Source organism: Homo sapiens, chromosome 20, assembly GCF_000001405.40.
Source record: "Homo sapiens chromosome 20, GRCh38.p14 Primary Assembly".
In the NCBI taxonomy this organism is placed as follows: domain Eukaryota; kingdom Metazoa; phylum Chordata; class Mammalia; order Primates; family Hominidae; genus Homo; species Homo sapiens.
The window spans coordinates 35879429-35903990 of NC_000020.11; the positions used below are offsets into that span (position 1 = coordinate 35879429).

The 24562-nt window shown below is 42.7% G+C and overlaps 1 protein-coding gene and 1 pseudogene across 11 annotated transcripts in view; both read left to right on the forward strand.

Annotated features, from left to right (window-relative positions):
• Positions 1-24562, forward strand: part of PHF20 (PHD finger protein 20) — a 178356-nt gene that overhangs the window by 107414 nt on the left and 46380 nt on the right. For all 11 annotated transcript variants that reach the window (XM_047440180.1, NM_016436.5, XM_017027868.3 and 8 more), the window contains one exon: positions 19942-20220. In XM_047440180.1, the coding sequence (XP_047296136.1) occupies positions 19942-20220 (279 nt within the window). The remainder of the gene's footprint in view (positions 1-19941; positions 20221-24562) is intronic.
• On the forward strand, positions 8231-8373 carry RNU4-40P (RNA, U4 small nuclear 40, pseudogene; annotated as a pseudogene).

Consider the following 24562-nt stretch of genomic DNA (forward strand, 5'->3'; position numbering starts at 1 on the left):
AAATATGTATTTTAAGCACTCATGCAAAGGTAAATGAACACTGTTTAAATGTGTGCTTTGCTTATTTTTTCTGTAACAATCGTAAACATTAAACTGAACAAATTACCTACAGTAGTTTTGATTAATGACCTAAGAGCAAGCTGGTTTGGCCAGACAGTGTACCCAAACTTTTATATACCATCGAATGTTATTACACTTGTGAAATTCTCCTGTCTAACCTGAATTTACATTCCATGGTGGTTACATGGTATATGTATTATTATTAAAGTAAGTGAGCCATGTCAAAAAAAAAACAAAAAAACAAATTGACCTCTTCAAGACCAGCCTGGGCAACATGGTGAAACCCCATCTCTCCAAAAAAAAAAAAAAAACCCTCCAAAACAAAACAGAATAAAACCCCAAAAAACCAAATTAGCCGGGTGTGGTGGCATGTGCGTGTAATCCCAGCTACTTGTGAGGCTGAGGTGGGAGAATCGATTGAGCCCAGGAGGTCAAAGCTATAATAAGCCATGATCATGGCAACACTGTGCTCCAGAGCTGTGACAGAGTGAGACCCTGTGAAAGAAGGAAAGAAAGAGAGAAAGAGAAAGGAGAGAGAGAAAGAAATTAATTGACTTCAACTCACTTACTGAGCCTTTACCATATGCCTAGGACTGCTAACTGTTGCGTATGCAAAGATGAGTGGGCACTCTTGGACTTAGTGTTCATTAACTGCTATTTGGATTTGCTATTTGCCTCTTGGGGAGAGGTGATACTTAGGTTGGTGCTTTAGCGGCAGGGATGGAAGAAGGCGGTACTTGCACGGGAACCTGAAGGATGGGCAGCAGTTAGGCATTTGAAAATGGAGGCAAAGCAGCTAGCACAGCATGACCATAGGGCGATTTCTGAGACTGTCAGGTATGTGTTTTGAGGTAATTGCAGACTTCCTGAAGTGGGTTAAGGTGGGGTAAGTTGCTGCCAAACTGAGGTTGGTTGCTTTGAGGAATTTACTGAGAAACTGAAAAATGCTTCATTTTCAGGATAGGGAGATAGCCTGTGTTGGCAGGATTGCTTTCCTTCCATTTAGCTATTTTGTGGCCATAAGGTATTTTTTCTGCATATATTTTAAAGAAGTTTTTATTTTGAAATAATTTGTTATTAAAAATGTTGTTAAAAAATGGTACAAAGAATATACCTTTAACCAAATTCCCCAATTGCTAGCAATTTACCATATTTACTTTATTATTCTACTCTTTAAAGTACTTTTTCTAGATGGGATGCGGTGGCTCATGCCTGTAATTCCAGCACTTTGGGAGGCTGACGCGGGCAGATCACTTGAGGTCAGGAGTTCGAGACCAGCCTGGCCAACATAGTGAAACCCTTTCTCTACAAAAATAAAAAAATTAGTCAGGCGTGATGGCACATGCTTGTAGTCCTAGCTACTCGAGAGGCTGAGGCAGGAGAATCTCTTGAGCTCGGGAGGCGGAGATTGCAGTGAGCCAAGATTGTGCCACTGTACTCCAGCCTAAATGACAGAGCGAGACTCTGTCTCAAAGAAAACAAAAATTAAAAATTTTTTTTTAGAAAGTACTTTTTCTGAATTGTTTAAAAATAAGTTCCAGACCTTTATCTCTAAATACCTTTTTTTTTTTTTTTTTTTTTTCTGAGACGGAGTTTCTCGCTCTTGTCACCCAGGCTGGAGTGTAGTGGTGCGATTTCTGCTCACTGCAACCTTCGCCTCCTGGGTTTAAGAGATTCTCCTGCCTCAGCCTCCTGAGTAGCTTGGATTACAGGCACGTGCTACCATGCCCGACTAATTTTTGTATTTTTAGTAGAGGCTGGGTTTCACCATGTTGGCCAGGCTAGTCTTGAACTCCTGACCTCAGGTGATCCACCCACCTTGGCCTCACAAAGTGCTGGGATTATAGGCGTGAGCCACCGCACCCGGCCTCCCTAAGTACTTTTTAGAAAATCCCATATTTAATTAGCTGGGCATGGTGGTGTGCGCCTGTAATCCCAGCTACTTGGGAGGCTGAGGTGGGCGAATTGCTTGAACCCAGGAGGTGGAGGTTGCAGTGAGCTGAGATAGCACCACTGCACTCCAGCCTGGGCGACAGAGCAAGACTCTGTCTAAAAAAAAAAAAAAAAAGAAAAAGAAAAAAATATTCCATATTTCCTAAAGACAAGGACATTCTTCTACATTACCACAGTATAATTTTCAAAATCAGGACCTTCTTCAGACTTTATCAGTTTTTGCCTTTCACCCCATTTATGGCAGTCATCTTGTTTTTATTCTATATGCTTTTTTTGGGCAATTGAAAAAATATTCATAAATTTGAAAAGAACTCCAGAAATATACAAGGATAATTCAACTAACATTCTTGTCTCCCATAGTCCCATGGCCCACTACTGTTAGTATTTGGTCATGAGGGCCTCAGGGCCATACACTGGCCTGCAGGGCCCAGCTTCTTCTGGCCACCTGTTGCCTCACCTTCCTATTGATTCTGCTGCAGCCACATGGCCTCCTTGCTATCCTGCAGGCATAACTTACGGATTCTAGTTGAGTTCTTTAGTAATTGCAAACTATATTTTTGCTGCTGTTATATTAGAATAATTTTTAAATGTCATCTTGAAATAGAAATATTTATTTTAAGCACTCATGCAAAGGTAAATGAACACTTTTTAAATGTGTTCATTGCTTATTTTTTCCATAAGAATTGTAAACATTAAACTGAACAAATTACCCATAATGGTTTTGATTAATGACTTAAGAGCAAGCTGGTTTGGCCAGACAGTGTACCCAAACTTTTATATACCATAGAATGTTATTACACTTGTGAAATTCTCTTGTCTAACCTGAATTTACATTCCATGGTGGTTACATGGTATATGTATTGTTACACTCCTACCTCTGGGCCTTGTTCAAGCACACTTTTATTGAGTACTTTTTATCCCCAGCCAGAGCAAGTAGATCCATTGGGAACATATCAGTAATGTGATGGGTAATATTTATTTATGTATTCATTCATTTATTTGTTTGAGAAGGGTTTTGCTCTGTCATCCAGGCTGGAGTGTAATGGCATGATCATAGCTCACTGCAGCCTCAACCTCCTGGGCTTAAGCCATCTTTCCACCTCAGCCTGCTGAGTAGCTAGGACTACAGACATGTGGCACCAAGCCTGGCTAATTTTTAAATTTTTTGTGGAGACAGGGTCTAGATATATTGACCATGCTAGTCTTGAACTCTGGGCCTCCGCCTTGGCCTCCCAAAGTGGTGGGATTGGAGGTGTGAGTCACTATGCCCAGCCCTATCTTCTTTCACAATTACATATAATTAGGCCAGGCACAGTGGCTCAAGTCTGTAATCCCAGCACTTTTGGAGGCCAAGGCAGGCAGATCACCTGAGGTCAGGAGTTGGAGACCAGCCTGGACAACATGGCAAAACCCTGTTTCTACTAAAAATACAAAAGTTTAGCCAGGTGCGGTGGTGTGTGCCTGTAGTCCCAGCTACTCAGGAGGCTGAGAGAGGAGAATTGCTTGAGCGTGGGAGGCGGAGGTTGCAGTGAGCCAAGATCACGTTATTGCACTCCAGCCTGGGTGACAGAACGACACTCTGTCTCAAAAAAAAAAAAAAAAGAAAAAAGAAAAAGAATATAATTAGCTAGGCATTGTGGCACACGCCTGTAGTCCCAGCTACTCGGGAGGCTGACATGGGAGGATCTCTCTAAGCCCAGGCATTCGGTGTTGCAGTGAGCTATGATCCTACCACTGCACTCCAGCCTTGACAACAGAGTGAGACCCTGTCTCTGGAAAAACAAAAACAAAAACAATTACGTATAATTTATTTCATTGTATGGATGTTCCATAATTTATTTACCTAGCCCCTGCTGAAAGATATTTAAGTTCTTTCTAACTTTTCCCTATTAATTCTCCCTGTTTTACAGACAAAGAGCCTAATATTTGGCATGAAGGAGTGAGTTAGCTAGAGTGGCACACTTCCTAATGGTCAGTATTGTAGAGGTTGGTAAAATTAAATTAAATTTTTGTTTGAGACAGGGTCTCACTCTGTCATCCAGGCTGGAATGCAGTGGCGCTGTCACGGCTCACTGCAGTGTTGACTTCCAGAGCTTCAGTGATCCTCCCCACTGTTCAGCCTCCTAAATCATTGGGACCACAGGCACTCGCCGTCACTCCTGGCTAATTTTTGTATTTTTTGTAGAGACAGGGTTTTGCCATTTTGCCCAGGCTGGTCTCAAACTCCTGAGCTCAACCGATCCACTTGCCTCGGCTTCCCAAAGTGCTGGAATTACAGGTGTGAGCCAGTGTGTCTGGCCCAGAGTCTGTAACTGTTGTTTTCCTGCTGAGTGCCTAATTCCATCTGATAAGATGCTGGGTGCTATATAAATCAAGTGAAATGAACAGAGTCCCTGCCTTTAGGGGCATTGCACAGTATGTGATGCAAACTTCTGCTCTCGGGGCACTCATTAAAGCAGTGTGTACACTCAGAGTAAGAGGCTTAGTAGGGTGGCTAGATTTGGAGGGTGGTGTGTGGTACAAGTGATGTCAGTACTCCAGGACTGGGTGGTGCCTTTTGAATTCTTTGAGTTGTGGAAAATGTCTTGATCTGGAAACTGAATGGTGTTTCTGGTGTTTCTTTGGAAACATAGGTTTAGTGGTGTGAGTACAGGACGATCCAGAAAGATTGCTGGGGGAAAGGGAGGTTGTTGAGAACTCATTCACCAGGAATGTATTAACGTAAGTAAGCGGAAATAGGGCGGGACCATGACCATCTTCAGAAGCATCCAGCCAGGTCCCTGGAAGCTGGGATGCTGCGTTAGTCACTGTTTAGTGTTGCTTTCCTGAGTCGGTGCCATAGTCTTGCGTTTTTAAACCGAGATGGAGTCACAATCTGAGAAATTGGTGTGAAGGAGGCTCATGGGCAGCAGGAGGAGGAGGAGCTGGGAGGGCAACACATCTAGTCTAGGGCTAGCTGTTCCAACCTAACTCTGGCATTTGGGGCAGCTCTGCCACCTTGTGGAATGAGTGCTCAGTGATTTCTGTGGGGGCTGAGTGCAGAGATCTGCATTCCAGGGGCTAGCCTTGAAATGTTCACCAGGACTATATGTCGGTGTGGTTCCTTTCCTTCCACTTGAGTATTTGTGGCTTCAAAGTATTTTTCCTACGTATGTAGATGCATATTTTTTCCTGAATATATTTTTAGGAAGTTTTTATTTTGAAATAATTTAGACTTATACATCTATGTAGCATGGGTTAAAAGAATGACAAAAAATAATTTCAGATTTATAAAAAAGTTGCAAAAATAGCAAAAAGATTTCCCTTATACCTTTCCCTATGTTGGAAAATATAGATTCCCCAATTGCTAGCAATTTACCATGTTAGCTTTATTATTCTCTCCCAGATTTTATTTTATTTCATTTTTTGAGATGGATTCTCACTCTTTCGCCCAAGCTGGAGTGCAGTGATGAGATCTTGGCTCACTGCAACCTCCACCTCCTGGGTTCAAGCAATTCTCCTGTCTCTGCCTCCCGAGTAGCTGGAATTACAGGCACACGCCACCACGCCTGGCTAATTTTTTTTGTACTTTTAGTAGAGATGGAGTTTCACCATGTTGGTCAAGCTGGTCTCGAACTCCTGACCTCAAGTGATCTACCCACCTTGGCCTCCCAAAGTACTGGGATTACAGGCATGAGCCACCATGCCCAGCCCTCTCCCAGATTTTTTAATGTAGTTTTTGAATTGTTTGAAAATAAATTGCAGACCTTTAGCCCTGAATATTTCAGTGTGTATTTCCTGAAAACAAGGACATCCTCTTTCATTCCCACAATATAATCAAAATCAACACCTTTTAAAAACTTTGCCATTTGTTCTAATAATGTTCTTTGTGGAAAAAATGGGGGTAAATTTTTTTTATTTCTGGTCAAGATCCAATCCAGATACACACGTTGAATTCAGCTGTCATATTTCTTTTGTCTTCTTTAATCTGAAACAGACCTTCAGTCTTCTACTTTTTTTACTGGAGTGGGGGACAGGGGAATAAGCTTTTTTTTTTTTTTTTTTTTTTTTTTTTTTTTTACTTTTTAAAAATGAGATCTTCAGTTTTTGTCTTTTATGACCTTGACATTACATTTCTGAATATGATATCCCTCAATTTGGGTTTTTCTGATGTATCCTCATAATTTGATTTGGGTTATTCACTTTCCACAGAAATACCACGTAAGTGATGTTGTGACCTTTTCAGGTGCATTCTATCAGGAAGCACATGAAAACCTGTTTGTCCCATTTACTGGTGACATTAACTTTTATCACTTACCTAAGGTAGTATCTACCAGCTTTTTCTACTATAAAGCTGTTATTACCCCCTTTATAATGAATACATTTCTTGTGAGAGAAACATTGAGACTATGTAAATATCTTATTTCCTCATCAAACTTTCACCCATTATTTTAGCATCTACTGGTATTTCTTGCCTGAAACAATTTTTACTGTGATGGCTGCCAAATGGTGATATCTAACTTTCATCATTCTTTCAACATGTATTAGTTTATATTCTGCCTTAGGGGGGTTTAATCTCACTTCTTTCCTTCCTTTCCTTGTTTGTTTATCTGCATGGGCTCATGGATTCTTATGTCGTTCTATGGGTTATAATCTGTTTCTATCATTATTTATTTTAATGCCAAAAAATTATAATCTTGAGATTATGTCAGTAAATACTTTTTTTTTTTTTTTTTGAGACAGAGTCTCACTCTGTTGCCCAGGCTGGAGTGCACTGATGAGATCTCAGCTCACTGCAACCTCCGCCTCCTGGGTTCAAGTGATTCTCCTGCCTCAGCCTCCCAAATAGCTGGGATTACAGGTGCCCACCACCATGCCCAGCTTTTTTTTTGTAGCTTTAGTAGAGACTGGTCCAGGCTGGTCTTGAACTCTTGACCTCAAGTGATCCGCCTGCCTCACCCTCCCAAAGTGTTGGGATTACAGGTGTGAGCCACTGTGCCTGGCCTTCGCTAATCTTTGATTGCTTTTTGATGCTTCAAGCTGAAAAAATTATTCCTTCATAGACATGAAAAATATTTTATTCATTATATTATGTGAAATATATATCAAAAAGGTATCAAACTGCTGGGCCACATGGCGTGATTGCCGACAAGAATAGCAACTGTGTTGGGCCTTGGTCCTGAGGGAACACATGACAATGAGAAGTGGCTCTTTTCCCCTGGCTGGAGAAGTGACAAATAACAGGATCCAGGAGCAGATGTTAAGTGCTGATGATGAGGTAGAGCAGATAGTCATTTGTGGCAGGAATTGATGGCATGTGGTCCCTGAGAGCCAGGGCCATCTGGATGTCTTTCTGTTTGTGGAGTGAGCTGGGTCTGGATGGAAGTGAAGACTTGGCTGAGCCAGGGAGGAATGGCAGGAAGAGGGCACAGGCCAAGCAGGGGTGTGAACTGCGAGAGCATGAAGCAGTTGCTGGAGCAGGAGCTGAGGCCTCCTTATGGATGAATGGGAGGTGCGTTTGGAAGCAAGATGCCACTATTGGAGTGACGTGGGCCTTGAATGCCAGACTGAGCATTGCCAGCCAGACGGAATATCACCATCATCATAATCTAATCATAGTCATCCAGTTGTGAGGTCATCTGATACTGGCAATGGGTACACAAAATATTAAATAGGATATTTATTTCTAAGCCAAATTTCAGAAAACAATTTACAAACTTTTTTTAAAGTATAAACATAGTGTATGCTTACTATAAAAGGAAAAGTATAAAACATTACTCAAGTATATATAGAAAATGAGTGGGCTGCTGATCCCCCTCTATATTATCTATTGCTGTGTGACAGTATTACCACAAATACAGTAGCTGAAACAACACATTTGTTTTCTCACAGTTTCTGTGGGTGAGGAGTTCAAGCATAGCTTGGTCCTCTGCAAGCTTACAATCCAAGGGTTGGCTCAGGCTGTATTCTCATCTGAGCACTCTACTGGGGAGGGTTTCAGGCTTACCTGATGGTTGGCGGCATTCAGTCCTTCTAGACTGTCAGACTGAGGGCCTTGGTTTTTGCTGGTGCACTCAGTTCCTTGCTTCATATAGAGTAGCTCACAATGTAGCAGCTTGTTTCACTAAGACAGCAAGGAAGAGTGTTTCCTAGTAAGACAGACACTGTAGTCTTACCTAATACAATCATGAAAGTGACATACTGTCTCCTTCGCCATATTCTGTTAGAGACAGGTTACAGCTTTGCCCAGTGGCAGTATCCTAGCCAATGAGGTTTATCTGAGGCATGATTATTAAAATAATTGAAAATTTTCCCAATACACCAAAGTGACAACTTACAACATAGGTTGGCAATGGCAATTTTTGACATGTCTACAAAGACTGAATTAAAAAAAAAAAAAAAAAAAAGAAGAAGTTACAGGTTCTGCCCACACTCAAGAGGAAGAGATTATATCAGGGCGTGAATACCAGGAGGCAGGGATTATTAGGAAACATTTTAGGGTTTAACTCCACACCCTCCCCCGAAAATAGATAAAGAAAACACTGCTTAGGGTTACCTTTTTTTTTTTTTTTTTTCTGAGACAGAGTTTCGCTCTTGTTGCCCAGGCTGGAGTGCAATGGTGCGATCTCGGCCCACCGCAACCTCCGCCTCCCTGGTTCAAGCAATTCTCCTGCTTCAGCCTCCTGAGTAGCTGGGATTATAGGCTTGCACCACCATGCCCGGCTAATTTTGTATTTTTTAGTAGAAATGGGGTTTCTCCATGTTGGTCAGGCTGGTCTCCAACTCCCGACCTCAGGTGACCCACCCACCTTGACCTCTCAAAGTGTTGGGATTACAGGTGTGAGCCACCACGCCTGGCCTAGGGTAACCATTATTAAAAGCAAAATTTGTGGACCATTTTTCTCTGCACATACCAAAGTATAGTAGTAATTTAGGAACAACAAGAGCAAAGGGTGACTGTTGAGATTTTGAGCCTGGATGCCCAGGAGAGAGCTCTGTGCTTTTTCTTGATTCCTCCTAACAATAATTTGTTAAACAGGAGGGAGAGGACAGAGCAGGTAAATGATAATATCAGTAACTACTTGGAAATAGTGATTTTCATACTGCTTTTAAAAGAGGAATAAACTGGTTTCAGTAGATGACCTTATCCCAAGAGTAATTGAGTTCCCCCTCACTTTTGAACCAGCAACTTTAAGATTTAATTTACAATATTTTCTTCTGGGCATGGTGGCTCATGCCTGTAATCCCAGCACTCTGGGAGGCTGAGGCAGGAAGATCACTTGAGCCAAGGAGTTGGAGATCAGCCTTGGGCAACATAGGGAGACCCTCATCTCTTTTTTTTTTTTTTTTAATTAATAATTTACATGTCTTCTGCCCTCTGTCTCTGAGTAACTGCTCTCATGTTGACAAGAACCATATTAGTATGCTAAGGGTGGATGATGTCACTTAGTGGTGTCACCAGCTGCTGCCATGTATGTTCTAAATGAACTGTCCTCCCATAGGGGAATACATACCTGTGTGTGAGACTGGGATTTATGTAGACTTTGGCCCAGCAGGCCCATTTGACAACCAGTGGCCCTCTTAGTTTCTTTTTTTTTTTTTTTTTTTTTTTTTGAAATGGAGTCTCGCTGTGTCACCTAGGCTGGAGTGCACTGGCACAATCTTGGCTTACTGCACCCTCTGCCTCTGGGCTCAAGCGATTCTCCTGCCTCAGCCTCCTGAGTAGCTGGGATTATAGGTGCACACCACCACGCTCAGCTAACTTTTGTATTTTTAGTAGAGACGGGGTTTTGTCATGTTAGCCAGGCTAGTCTCGAACTCCTGACTTTGTGATTCGCCCACCTTGTCCTCCCAACGTGCTGAGATTATAGGCGTGAGCCACCGTGCCTGGTGCTATACATAATTTTCTATTTTGCTCGTAATATTTTGGGTTTTATTTTTTATTTTTATTTTTATTTTGAGACAGAGTCTCACTCTGTCACCCAGGCTGGAGTGCAGTGGCACAATCTCAGCTCACTGCAACCTCCACCTCCTGGGTTCGAGCAATTTTTGTGCCTCAGCCTCCCGAGTAGCTGGGACAATAGGCACGCACCACCACGCCCGGATAAATTTTTGGATTTTTAGTAGAGATAGAGTTTCACCATGTTGGCCAGGCTGGTCTTCAACTCCTGACCTCAAGTGATCTGCCCATCTCAGCCTCCTAGAGTGCTGAGATTACACGCATGAGCCACTGTGCTTGGCCATATTTTGAGTTTTATTTCGCATAGTTATACCATGCATATTCTGTTTCTTAATTAATTAATTAATTATTTTAAAATTATTTTTGAGACAGGGTCTCACTCTGTTGCTTAGGCTGGAGTCTCAGTGGTGCAATCTCGTCTCACTGCAACCTCTGTCCCCAGGTTCAAGTGATTCTCTCACCTTAGCCTCCCAAGTAGCTGGGACTAGAAGCATGCACCACCATGCCTGGCTAATTTTTGTATTTTTTGGTAGAGACAGGGTTTCCTCATGTTGTCCAGGCTGGTCTTGAACTCCTGACCTCAAGTGATCCACCCAACTTGGCCTCCCAAAGTGCTGGGATTACAGGCATGAGCCACCATCCCTGGCCCTATTTATTTATTTTTGAGACAGTTCTGTCTCACTGTTGCCCAAGCTGGAGTGCAGTGGTAGGATCATGGCTCACTGCAGCATCGACCTCCTGGGTTCAGCCTGTCCTCCTGCCTCAGTCTCCTGAGTAGCCGAGACTATGGGTGCATGCCACCACACCCATCTACTTTTTGTATTTTTTCGTAGAGATGGGGGTCTCACTATGTTGCTCAGGCTGGTCTTAAACTCCTGGGCTCAAGTTATCCACCCACCTTGGCCTCCCAAAGTGCTGGAATTACAGGCACGAGCCACTACACCTGACCTATTTTAAAATGTAGGATATTTTTGCTGAATGCATAATTTTAATGTTCCTATTGTGATTTTATTAATTATCACTAATCCTTCATTGTTTGATTAATAAAGGAGGGCAATTAGATGTTAGAATTTTGCAGATTGTACCAGTGACACATGGTCCCTTGGCTAGAATTATGCATAACTTTGATTGTTTTGAGCAAACAACTGTGAGGTCAGTGACAACAATAATGACAAATAATATTCAAGTAACCTCTTGCTGTTAATACTGGGTTTTGTGGCCAGGCACAGTGCCTCACGCCTTGTAATCCCAACACTTCAGGAAGCCGAAGTGGGCAGATCACCTGAGGTCAGGAGTTCGAGACCAGCCTGGCCAACAGAGTGAAACCCCATCTCTACTAAAAATACAAAATAATTAGCCAGGCATGGTGGCACACATCTCTAATCCTAGCTACTCGGGAGGCTGAGGTAGGAGAATCACTTGAACCCGGAGGTGGAGGTTGCAGTGACCCGAGATCGTTCCACTGCATTTCAGCCTGGGTGAGAGAGTGAGACTCTGTCTCAAAAACAAAACAAACAACAATAAAACAAAACAAAACTAAACAAAACTGGGTTTTGTCTTTAACTGCCTCATGGAAACATATAGGAGAGTTGTGAAATAAGTATTCTTATTCCCATTTAACAATGAGGAAACAGTCTTGGAGAGGCTAGCTCCCATGTTTGATGTGACAGTACACTAACATAAGTAAGAGAAGTAAAGAATGCAGCACATTCCAGGCCGGGTACAGTGGCTCATGCCTGTAATCCCAGCACTTTGGGAGGCCAAGGTGGGTGGATCACTTGCAGTCAGGAGTTTGAGACCAGCCTGTCGTAAATGACGAAACCCGGTCTGTACTAAAAATACAAAAATTAGCTGGGCGTGATGGCAGGCGCCTGTAATCCCAGCTACTTGGGAGGCTGAGGCAGAAGAATCGCTTGAACCCAGGAGGCGGAGGTTGCAGTGAGCTGAGATCATGCCACTGCACTCCAGCCTGGGCGACAGAGAGAGACTCTATGTCAAAAAAAAAAAAAAAAAGGCAGCACATTGGGTATTTCAACATTTTAGAAAAAGGAATAAACAAAACCAACTGTTATACAAATAGAAAGGGAAGGACTACAGGATCCATAAAATACTTACAGGAATTCTTCGAGGCAGGACAGAATCTTTTCTGCTGAGAGACCGGGGTGAAGGCATTGTGCAAGGAGGTGGTATTTGAAGGATGAGCAAGACTTGGTTTGCATGTGGGAACAACATGCCAAATAGAGGGAACCACATGGCCTAGACTGGCTGAACTGGCAGCCTTTATTGTGCATACAGAGGGCTCCTTTTGGCTGTGCAAAAATTAGGATAAGGTTGTGAAGTCTAGAAAATATAATTTTTCATGTCTCTAAATATTTGGGTTCAAAAGTAAAATAGTCCAATTTGCAAAACCTTCACGAGAAAGGGACGATTGCTTAAGTCTTGGTGTTTATGTGTCTTTTTTGTTATTCTATTTTTTATATATTATTTATTTATTTATGTACTTTTTGAGACAGAGTTTGTCACTGTGTTGCCCAGGCTGGAGTGCAGTGGGCAATCTTGGCTCACTGCAACCTCCGCCTACCGGGTTCAAGCGATTCACCTGCCTCAGCCTCCTGAGAAGCTGGGATTACAGGCATCCGCCACCACCCCCAGCTAATTTTTTTTGTTTTTTTTTGTTTTTTTGTTTTTTTTAAGCGGGGGACAGTCTCGTTCTTTCGCCCAGTTTCAAGTACAGTGGCGTGATATTGGTTCACTGCAACCTTTGCCTCCCAGGTTCAAGCGATTCTCCTGCTTCAGCCTCCCGAGTAGATGGGACTACAGGCATGCACCACCACGCCTGGCTGATTTTTTTTTTTTTTTTTTTTTTGTATTTTTAGTAGAGACGGGGTTTCACCATGTTGGTCAGGCTGGTCTTGAACTCCCGACCTCAAATGATCTGCCCACCTTGGCCTCCCAAAGTGCTAGGATTACAGGCGTGAGCCACCGCACCCGGCCAATTTTGTATTTTTAGTAGAGATGGGGTTTCACCATGCTGCTCAGGCAGGTCTCGAACTCCTGACCTCAGGTGCTCCACCTGCCTCAGCCTCCCGAAGTGTTGGGATTACAGGCATGAGCCACCACGTCTGGCCTTTTTTGTTATATTATAATTTAACATATCCTAAACATTTTCTCATCATTAAAAAGTTAACATAAACATTTTATTCATATATAATATTTTTATCTACTTTTTTTTCTTTAGAGCTCTACTTCTGGAAGAATCTACTTTTTGATTTGTGGTTCTGAAATTATAGCAAATTGTGTAATTTATCATATTTTATCACAGGCTAGTATGCATTACTGATTCATACCCTGTTTGCAGCTTTTCTCACTCTGATGCTTGTGTTGATTGTTTTTTCCAGCAGTGCAGGGTAGATTATCAACTGGCTTATAATCAGAAGAGCTTGCTTGTATCACAGTGAGTTATACTTCACTGATTTCACTGGGAAATCTTACTTCCTGAGTTTCCATGGTTAAAGATTTGTAATGCTCAAATCTTCTTTTGATGTTTATTCCATCAGAGAAAACAGAAACTACTTTGTCTTAGTGTTGCCAAATTGAAAAGAGCCTTTGGTTTGGCCAGGATCTTTGTGATAGTGGCACCTGGCAGTGTCTTCCCTCCTGAGGAGCATCCGTGCTCACTTGAGCCTCTCTGATCCTAGTACTGCCTGTCAGAGGCAGCTGGTCCACCTGAGTGCCAAGCTGGCGCTCCTTTGGAGTTTCAGCTGTACTAACTTTTGCTTAGCTGTGAGGAATCAAGGATTTTGCTTTTGCAGGGGGAATTTTTAACCTGTAAACTAAACTCGCTTGCTTTGAAAGGTTTACTAGATTGGCAGATTATTAGTCTGATTATTAGTCCAGTCATATCTATCTTTCAACAGATAGTTTGGCCATGACTTTTTTTTTTTTTTGAGATGGAGTTTCGCTCTTGTCACCCAGGTCAATGGTGTGATCTTGGCTCATTGCAACCTCCGCCACCTGGGTTCAAGCAATTCACCTGCCTCAGCCTCCCAGGTAGCTGGGATTACAGGCACACGCCACCACAGCTAGCTAATTTTTGTATTTTTAGTAGAGACGGGGTTTTGCCATGTTGGCCAGGCTTGTCTTGAACTCCTTACCTCAAGTGATTCACCCACCTCGGTCTCCTAAAGTACTAGGATTACAGGCATGAGCCACCACTCCCAGCCGGCCATGGCTTTTTTCTTTTTTTGTTTTCAGACAGAGTTTGGCTCTTGTTGCCCAGGCTGCAGTGCAATGGTGTGATCGCAGCTCATTTCAACCTCCACCTAGCAGGTTCAAGTGATTCTCCTGCCTCAGCCCCCCGAGTAGCTGGGATTACAGGCACCTGCCACCACGCCCAGCTAATTTTTTGTATTTTTAGTAGAGATGGGGTTTCACCATGTTGGCCAGGCTGGTCTTGAACTCCTGACCTCAGGTGATCTGCCTGCCTTGGCTTCCCAAAATGCTGGGATTACAGGCATGAGCCACTGTGCCCCGCCAACATGTACTGTTATTTATGTTTTAAAAAGATAAAACAATGTTCAGTATTTTGGTGGAACAAGCTTGGTACTATCCTGCATTGTATAGAGTATTACAAAAGAAAATCTTTAGGTGTCATAGTAAAAGATGTCCCAAAAGGTGGAGATAATAATCACACTGAAATGTGAATAGTCATACTAGGAACCTTGTGGTTGGTTTTGAATTTCACACTTTCAGGAGGACGTAGACGAAATGAAGTGCTTTCAGGGTGATATGCGTCCCAGCCAGGGCATATGAAGACTGGTTGAAGAAATGTTTCACACTTGGTTGATAATTATAATAGCTGTCTCCAGCCATGTTCCAGAAATAACATAAGCCTGCTTATGATGTATTTTATATTTGAAATGATAATGGCTTCCATGTGTTGATCACCTACTTTGTGCCAAGTACATACATTATCCATAACCTTTTCTCCAAATCTTTGAAATAGGTGGTATTCTTCCCTTAAGAATCTGGATAATTAGACTAGCTTGCACAGCTAATTTATGCTGCTAATGAAAGGTAGACCTGGGATTAAATGTTGTGCTTTTTGTACTATACCATACTGCCTCTGGCATGAGCATGCAGTGAGGCTGTGGGTGGTGGACACTTCCCCTCTTCTGCTTATGATCAGGTTAATTCCTGAAATTTAAAATGACATTGAATAGTCATAGTAGATAATATTGAGCACTTATGTGCCGTACACCTTTCTAAGCTCTTTGCATGTAATTTATTTAATTCTCACAACTCAGCGAAGTTGTTACCATTATCGTCTCCATCCTGCACATGAGGAAACTGAGGCAAGGGGTGTAGGTGGAAGAACTCGGTTTTGAAATAGGCTGTCCAGCTGCAGAACCCACACTTAGCCCCTGTACTGTTTGATTTATGTAGATGACCATTGTGTATACACAAGAGTGCAAGTTTTTGTTTTTGTTTTTGAGACGGAGTCTCACTCTTGTCACCCAGGCTAGAGTGCAATGGCACAATCTCGGCTCACTGCGATCTCGACCTCCTGGTTCAAGTGATTCTCCTGCCTCGGCCTCCTGAGTAAGCTGGATCTACAGGCGCGCACCATGCCCAGCTAATTTTTCTTCTTCTTTTTTTTTTGAGACAAAGTCTCGCTCTGTCGCCCAGGCTGGGGTACAGTGGCGTGATCTTGACCCACTGCAACCTCTGCCTCCTGGGTTCAAGCAATTCTTCCACCTCAGCTTCCCAAGTAGCTGGGACTACAGGCATGTGCCACCATGCCTGGCTAATTTTTATAATTTTATTTGAGACAAGGTTTTACCATGTTGGCCAGGCTGGTCTCAAACTCTTGACCTCAAGTGATCTGCCCACCTCAGCCTCTCAAAGTGCTGGGATTACAGGTGTGAGCCACCGTGCCCCGCTAATTTTTGTATTTTAGTAGAGATGGGGTTTCGCCATGTTGGCCAGGCTGGTCTTGAACTCCTGACTGCAAGTGATCTGCCCGCCTCAGTTTCCCAAAGTGCTGGAATTATAGTCGTGAGCCACTGCACAGGGTTCCAGCCTTAGTCTTTTTTAGCCTACAAAATGGCAAGTTTATATGATTTAACCTAATATAGATCAAGGGAAGGATATTCCAAAATAAACTATTTTTTGTTTTAGGAAAGAATTGGATGTATTAAAGTTTTGTGTTTTGAACTTCTCCACTGACATACTTTTCCTGTCCAATTATTTGTCTGAGAAGTGTGTATTCTGTTTCACATCGTGTCACTTTTGCTTCTCCTTTTTTTTTTTTTTTTTTTTTTGAGACAGAGTTTCACTCTTATTGCCCAAGCCAGAATGCAATGGCGCGATCTCAGCTACTGCAACCTTCGCCTCCCAGGTTCAAGTGATTCTCCTGCCTCAGCCTCCGGAGTTGCTGGGATTATAGATGCATGCCACCACGCCCAGCTAATTTTTTATATTTTTAGTGGAAATGGGGTTTCACCATGTTAGCCAGGCTGGTCTGGAATTCCCGACGTCATATGATCCGCCTGCCTTGGTCTCCCAAAGTGCTAGGATTACAGGCGTGAGCCATCGCGCCTGGCCAACTTTTTCTTCTCTTACCTGCAACTAATTGATCTGGCATCTTTTATATCTCTTGTTATAGGTAGAAAGTGATTTTAAGGCATTATGCTTTGGGATGTGTGTGTGTGTGTGTGTGTGTGTGTGTGTGTATAGGTTTTTGTTGGTTTAAATTGGCTCTATAACAGCATCCTTCAGACAACCAAACCTAATTTTGAAGTGTAGAGTATAATTTAGATCAAATTTAAGAGTTTTAAAATTACCTCTGATTATGGGATGACACTTGAAAAAGTAATCATAATACTTACCAAAGGTTTAACAGGCTACCTGCTTCCAGTGGAGATTGTGTGATTGTGTTTACGAAAAATCTGATTAACTCAAGAAAGGGCCATTCATTGCATACCGAATTCCTAATTTTTTAAAAAAAGATCCATTTAATATAATATATTCTTGGGTGACCAAATCTGTAGCATAGGAATGACTTAATGTGATTTTTTGTTGGTGGGAAGACATTCTAAAGGGAGTCCTCAATAAACTGCATTTCTAACACACAAGAGGTTCTTGTGGCCTGGGGGCGGTGGCTCACACCTGTAATTCCAGCACTCTGGGAGGCTGAGGCAGGCGGATCACTTGAAGTCAGGAGTTCGAGACCAGGCTGGACCAGTCTCTACTAAAGCTATGAAAAAAAAAAAACTGGACGTGGTGGTGGGCATCTGTAATCCCAGCTACTCAGGAGGCTGAGGCTGGAGAATCGCTTGAACTGGGGAGGTGGAGGTTGCAGTGAGCCGAGATCTCACCATTGCACTCCAGCCTGGACAAAGAGCAAGACTCCGTCTCAAAAAAAAAAAAAAAAAAAAGTCCTTGTGATGGGTTTACTTTTTGTCATTGGTGCCTGACCGACTATTGCCTTCTGCTTATTTGTCTTTTAGGGTCATGCTTTTATTGTCTCTTTGAAATTGATCATTGAGTCCTATGAGTCCTCCTTATGCCTTCCACCTCCATTTAGTTAGCTGGTTTTTCTTGCAGTCTCTGGGTCCTTTTTGTTGTTGTTTGTTTTGCATTTATTATTATTGTTATTCATACATTTTTGAGACAGGGTCTTACTTTGTTGCCCAGGCTGGAGTGCAGTGGTACAGTCATGGCTCACTGCAGCCTCAACCTGCTGGGCTCAAGGGATCCTCCCACCTGAGCTTTCTGGGTAGCTGGGACTATAGGCACATGCCATCATGCCTGGCTAATTAACAAAATTTTTTTTTTTGTAGAGATGGGGTCTTGCTGAGTTGTCTACACTGGTCTTGAGGATCCTGGCCTCAAGTGATCCTCTTGCCTTGGCCTCATTTATTATTATTTTTAATTGACATGTAATAATTTTACATATTCATGTGGTACAGTGATATTTCCTTACATGTATACGATGTATAATGATTAAATCAGGATAATTGGCAAATCTGTCACCTTGAGCATTTATTTCTTTGTGTTCAGAACATTCAAAATCTGCTTTTCTAGCTATTTGAAAATATACAATAAATTGTTATTAATTATAGTTCCCCCATAGTGCTGTAGAATGCTAGAACTTATTCCTCCTATTCTGGATCCCTTTTTTTTTTTTTTTTTTTTTTTCTGAGACGGGGTCTTGCTCTGTCGCCCAGGCTCGAGTGCAGAGGTGCGATCTCGGCTCACTGCAAACTCCGCCTCCTGGGTTCAAGCCATTCTCCTGTTTCAGCCTTCTGGGTAGCTGGGACTACAGGTGCCCGACACCACGCCCGACTAATTTTGTTGTATTTTTAGTAGAGACAGGGTTTCACCATGTTAGCCAGGATGGTCTCAATCTCCTGACCTTGTGATCTGCCTGCCTCGGCCTCCTAAAGTGCTGGGATTACAGGTGTGAGCCACCACGCCCGGTGTTTTTTTTTTGTTTTGTTTTGTTTTTTGAGACAGAGTCTTGCTCTGTCACCCAGGCTGTAGTGCGGTGGTGTGATCTTGGCTCACTGCAACCTCCGCCTCCCAGGTTCAAGCGATTCTTCTGCCTCAACCTCCCGAGTAGCTGGGATTACAGGCATGTGCCACCATGCCCAGCTAATTTTTGTATTTTTAGTAGAGATGGGGTTTCACCATGTTGTCCAGGCTGGTCCGAACTCCTGACCTCAGGTGATCCGCCCACCTCGGCCTCCCAAAGTGCTGAGATTACAGGCGTGAGCCACTGCACCCACCAAATCTGGATCCTTTTGATCAGACAAAGTATATTGTAAAACAAAGTACGTGTTGAAATCTCAAAGACTCAATACTAAAACCTTTGTAACTGTTACACTTTCCTTGCACAAAAACTGACGTAAAATCTCTTAGGTTTCATAGAGAGATACTGAGGAATGTTCCCTATTTCCGTCCACACAGATAGGTACCAGGATGGTAGTAAATGTAAGTCTGATCCAACTCATAAGTGCTAGCTTGAGATCCTTGATTTTATTTATTTTATTTATTTTTTATTTTTTTTGAGACAGAGTCTGGCTCTGTTGACCAGGGTGGAGCACAGTGGCATGATCTCAGCTCACTGCAACTTCTGCCTTCGGGTTCAAGCAATTATCGTGCCTCAGCCTCCCGAATAGCTAGAATTACAGATGTGCTCCACCATGCCTGGCTAATTTTTTTGTTTGTTTGTTTTTTGTTTGAGTCAAAGTCTTGCTCTTGTCTCCCAGGCTGGAGTGCAATGGCATGATCTCGACTTACTGCAACCTCCGCCTCCCGGGTTCAAGCAATTCTCCTGCCTCAGCCTCCCAAGTAGCTGGGATTACAGGCACCTGCCATCATGCCTGGCTAATTTTTGTATTTTTAGTAGAGACAGGGTTTCACCATATTGGCCAGGCTGGTCTCGAACTCCTGACCTCAGGCGATCTGCCTCCCTTGGCCTCCCAAAGTGCTGGGATTACAGGTGTGAACCACCATGCCCAGCCCATTTCTTTTGTATTTTTAATAAAGATGGGGTTTTACCATGTTGGTCAGGCTGGTCATGAACTCCTGATCTCGAGTGATCCACCTGCCTTGGCCTCCCAAAGTACTAGGATTACAAGTGTGAGCTGCTCTGCTTGACCTGAGATCCTTTATTTTTATTTTTATTTTTATCTTTTTAAGGATTTTTCCTTAAAGTATATGAAACCCTGAAAACTTGTACGACTGTTTAAAATAAACATGTTGATTTCTTCTTCCTAAAGATGAATCACAATTGAGTCTTATTTGACCTGAAGTTGTTTTCATTCTCTCTAAACAGTAATTTGAGGAGGTAATGGCAGTCTGATGTCTCAGGCTACATTTGCACGCTAGTCTTTCACCCTCAGTTGTCATGTGTTAATGCATGTTTTGTAATAACTGGGATAAATACAAGGAACCTTTGCTTTTGTTTTTATTTTTTTCAGTAACAAATACTTTTAAGAAAACAGATGATTTTGGGTCATCTAATGCACCAGCTGTCGACCTAGACCATAAGTTTAGATGCAAAGTTGTGGACTGTTTAAAATTTTTCCGCAAAGCCAAACTGTTGCACTATCACATGAAGTATTTCCATGGAATGGAGAAGTCACTGGAGCCAGAAGAGAGCCCGGGAAAGAGGCATGTCCAAACCAGGGGCCCTTCAGCTTCAGACAAGCCCAGCCAGGAGACCCTGACCAGGAAGCGGGTCTCTGCCAGTTCCCCAAGTAAGTATCTTCATTCTTCATTGTGTCATGGATGGCTCAGTTGCTTGGCCACAGTGCTTGTGTTTTCTGACACACAAAGCAGGCATTAGGTTTGTCTGTTCCAGTTGAATCCCACAGGACTGAACATATTAAGTGATCCTCTGGGCTGTGCCACGGAGCTGTGGCCTTCCTACAGGAAGCAGGAACACCTAACTGAGAATTACCTTGAAAAATCGCTTAGCCTCTGAAGGCCTTGCTGCTTCCAGTATGAGTGGGGACAGTCAAGCAAAGGGACCTTATTCAGAAGCCAGCAGGAGAACTCGTGCTCAGAGCAGCATGGGTGCCATCGTCCCACTCTCCCAAACCTGTGCGTTTTCCTTGCCAGCAGCACAAAAGAGCACGATAACCAAAAGGTGATATGTGATTCTACTGCTGGGTCCAAATGTGAATCCTGTTTCATCTTAAGTGCAACTGAAGATATTTATAATAGCACTGTTTGTTTTGCATAGAAACCATAATAGGGGTTACCATAAAATCTCATTTTATAACTTATTACAGAGAACCTTTTAGGAAATATCTTCTAAAGCTTACAGAAATTGAAAAATTACATGTTTCCAGGGGAATTTCAGAAGAATTAATGGATTTCCAATAAATTATATAATCTTCCCAGCTTTTTACTTGCTATTGTAATATCACTACCTACTTCTTGGCTTAGAGGTTTTCTATTAAAATGTGTAGGTCTTAAATGGTATATGGAACTCCTAGGACATCTGGCAGTGTTCCCAGTAGAGTATACAATCAGGTTTCAGGACAGGGGCAGAGCCATGCAGACTAAGGTGAACTCTGACCCTCCGAGGGGTCAACCTTCATTTATGCTGTCAAGACTTTGTATGTGCTGTATTATCCATTAAAAATATAATGTGAGGCCAGGCACAGTGTCTCATGCCTATAATTCCAGTGCTTTGGGAGGCCAAGGCAGGAGGATCACCTGAGGTCAGGAGTTCGAGACCAGCCTTACTTAACATGGTGAAACCCCGTCTCTACTAAATATACAAAAAAATTAGCCGGGCTTGGTGGTGCATGCCTGTAATCCGAGCTACTCTGGAGGTTGAGGCAGGAGAATTGTTTGAACCCAGGAGGCAGAGGTTGCAGTGAACCGAGATCATGCCACTGCACTCCAGCCTGGGCGACTGAGTGAGACTCCATCTCAAAACAACAACCAAATAAGCTAGCATAAACTCATGCAGATTGTATGGTTCTGCTTATATAAAGTTCAAAAATGAGTAAGAAAAATAATCTATGGTATTTGAGGTCAGGACAGTAGTTACCTTTGGGAGGAGGTGGGTAGGACTGGAAACTGGGCAGGAGGGAGTCTTCTAGGGCTCCGAAATGTTCTGTTTCCTGATCTGCATGGTGGTTATACAGGTGTGTTCATTTATGAAAAAGTATTGGTTTATGTGTTTATTTGTGTGTACTTTTCTGTGTATGTTTTATGCCTCAATAAAAAGCATGCTTAGGCGGACATAGTGGCTCACACCTGAAATCCCAGCACTTTGGGAGGTGGATCGCCTGAGGTCAGGAGTTCGAGACCAGCCTGGCCAATATGATGAAACCCCGTCTCTATTAAAAATACAAAAATTAGCCAGGCGTGGTGGCAGGTGCCTGTAATCCCAGCCACTCAGGAGGCTGAGGCAGGAGAATCGCTTGAACCTAGGAAACAGAGGTTGCAGTGAGCCAAGATCGTGACACTGCACTCCAGCTTGGATGACAGAGCAAAACTCTGTCTAAAAAAAAAAAAAAAAAAAGTGTGCTTAAAACATATACTTGGAAATGGTAAAAATGCAGTAAGAATGTAAGAAACTGCAGAGAGATACCAAGATAAAGGATTGGGCTTTTTACTTGAAATAATGAATGTAATTGAGAGGATTTTAATGTTTGTTTGTTTCCTTTTATCTGACTTACCTCCAAATTAATCTCCTTTTCAGTCCCATGGCACTAATCTAGGTTTCTTCTCTTGCCCTGGTTGTTGTGGTCATTTCTTAATCAGTTTTCCTCCCATCATTCTTTACTCACTGTGGTTATCCATCATTTTGCCATCGGATCGATCTTTAAGAGTACAGACCTGATTATATCACTCTCTTGCTAAATAATATGTAAGGACAGAATGATGCTTCTGCAAAGCATAAGTTTTGGAGCTGGGCACATGGGTTGTGAATCCCATCTGTTGCCTCAGTCACTGTTGGACTCTCTTCAGGTCTCCAGACCTCACTGTCTCTGAGTGTAAACCTGAGTTCTTGTGATTAGTTTGTGAGCTAATCTTTTTAATAAGCCTGTGTAAACCTGAGTTCTTGTGATTAGTTTGTGAGCTAATCTTTTTAATAAGCCTGTTTCAAGGCCTGGTGTGGGGAAGTGGATTTCCTTCTTCCCCTTGCTTTCTAGAATTTCATCCTTCTCATCCAGCCATATGTGGCTGAGTTGGGTACATTTGTGTGAGCTCTCTAGCTGGATTCTGAGTGCTGTTGGGGAGGAATTATGTTGAGTCATCTTGAGTCACTACAGTATCCCATGGGCTCTGCAGCACTGTAGAAACAACCAGCACTGAAGGACTGGAGATTATGTTGAGTAAATGGAGGTCATTGAGGTGTCAGGAGCCAGTAGAAATAGCAGGTGCTGGATATCGTAATGGATTGACATCTGGGCAGGATGAGGGTACAACACTGGAAGTAGAGTGCAGCCTACCCCAGACAGCACAAAGCCACCAGAGTTAGGTTGTTCCAAAGGCTAAGGCTTGACAGGCAGGAGGCCATTGAGGGACCCATGGAAGTCCTGCTTGCCTGACCATCGTGGTGTGTGCTCTCTGTGCTAGGACATAGTGCCTCTGCCTCTCCCTGTTCATGGTAATTGTCTGAGGAGGGACTTTGCTCAGTATAATGCACCTGAGCGTGGGGCAGGTATTCCTGGCCAGATGCTGATCTACCACCTGGCTTTGGGATTCTTGGTTAACTGTACTTGCATGACTTGGTTTATGTTGAGTAATATGTGTCAGCTCACCTGAGTTTGAATACAGGCTCTACCGCTTGCTTGCTCCAGGACCTTGGGCAGAGAACTTGCGAAACTTCAATTTTCCCATCTGTGAAATAGAGATAATAGTACTACCTACCTCATAACTTTGTTACACTAAATGACCCAAGGGGAAATGCTTTGTAAAATGTCTGGCCTATAATAAACTCTGAATACACAGTCTCTTTATCTCAGTGAAAGCATTTACCCAGGCAGTCAGAGATCTGAGTTCTGAACTCAGCCAACCACTGATGAGCTACAAAACCAATAGACAAGACATTGCCATTTTGGTATAATTAAGAAGCCTGAGTGACTGATTTTCTTTTCTTTTTTCTTTTTTTTTTTTTTTGAGTGATTTTCGTTTCCTTTCCTTTCCTTTCCTATCCTTTCTTTTTTTTTTTTTTTTTTGAGTAATTGATTTTCTACTTTCATGTCTCCCTCTTGGGTCTCATGCATTATACTGACCTGGGATTTTATTCTCTCTGTTAATACTGAAGGATCCTTTTCAATGGGATTTGGAAATTTCTTGGTGAATTGGAGATTTTTGTTTACCAGTTTTTAAAAATAAGGCCTGCTGTATACTCACTAGACTAGTAGGGTTGGACAATTATAAAATGCTTTAAGGGAAACAAGAGTCTTTTAAATCCCTATGCTTTAACTTGTTGCCAAAAGGTTTTTTAAGTCCTTATGTTTTAATTTGTTTAAAGTGGTCCTTTGTAAAATTGATCAATTTAGCAGCAGAATGTGCCACACAGACCACTCACCCACTGTTTGATCATTTCTGTACCCTCTCAGTGAGGGCACAGTCTGATCATTTCTGTACCCTCTCAGTGAGGGCAGGATTTGTGCAGCCAGGAAGGAATGTACCCCCATCCACATGTCAAGTGGACACAGCCTCCTAGACAACATGGCGATTACCCAAATGTATCTCCCATGCCTCATTGCTGATACGTTTAGCAGTTACCAGACCGAAGGAACTAGACCATCCATCTTGCTGTGATCCAGATGGAAAATTGAAAGCCTGGCCACCAGCCCTGACTGTGCCACTAACCAGCAAGAGCCTCGGTATTATCATATGTGGATGGGGCTCAGTAGACATGTTCAGTGTTTATCACGTAGCTGGCTATCAATGAGAGTGAACATAGTAGTGTATGCTGAAGATTCTGTAGTGTGGCTGCCTTATTCTGCTGCAGCTCTCCAGAAGGCACCCCTGTTCCAGGCATCACCCCTTACCTTTCTCCCATCAAAGCCTTGCCCCAGTTTGTCAGGGTTTTACTGGATACTTGACTAATCTGATAACCAA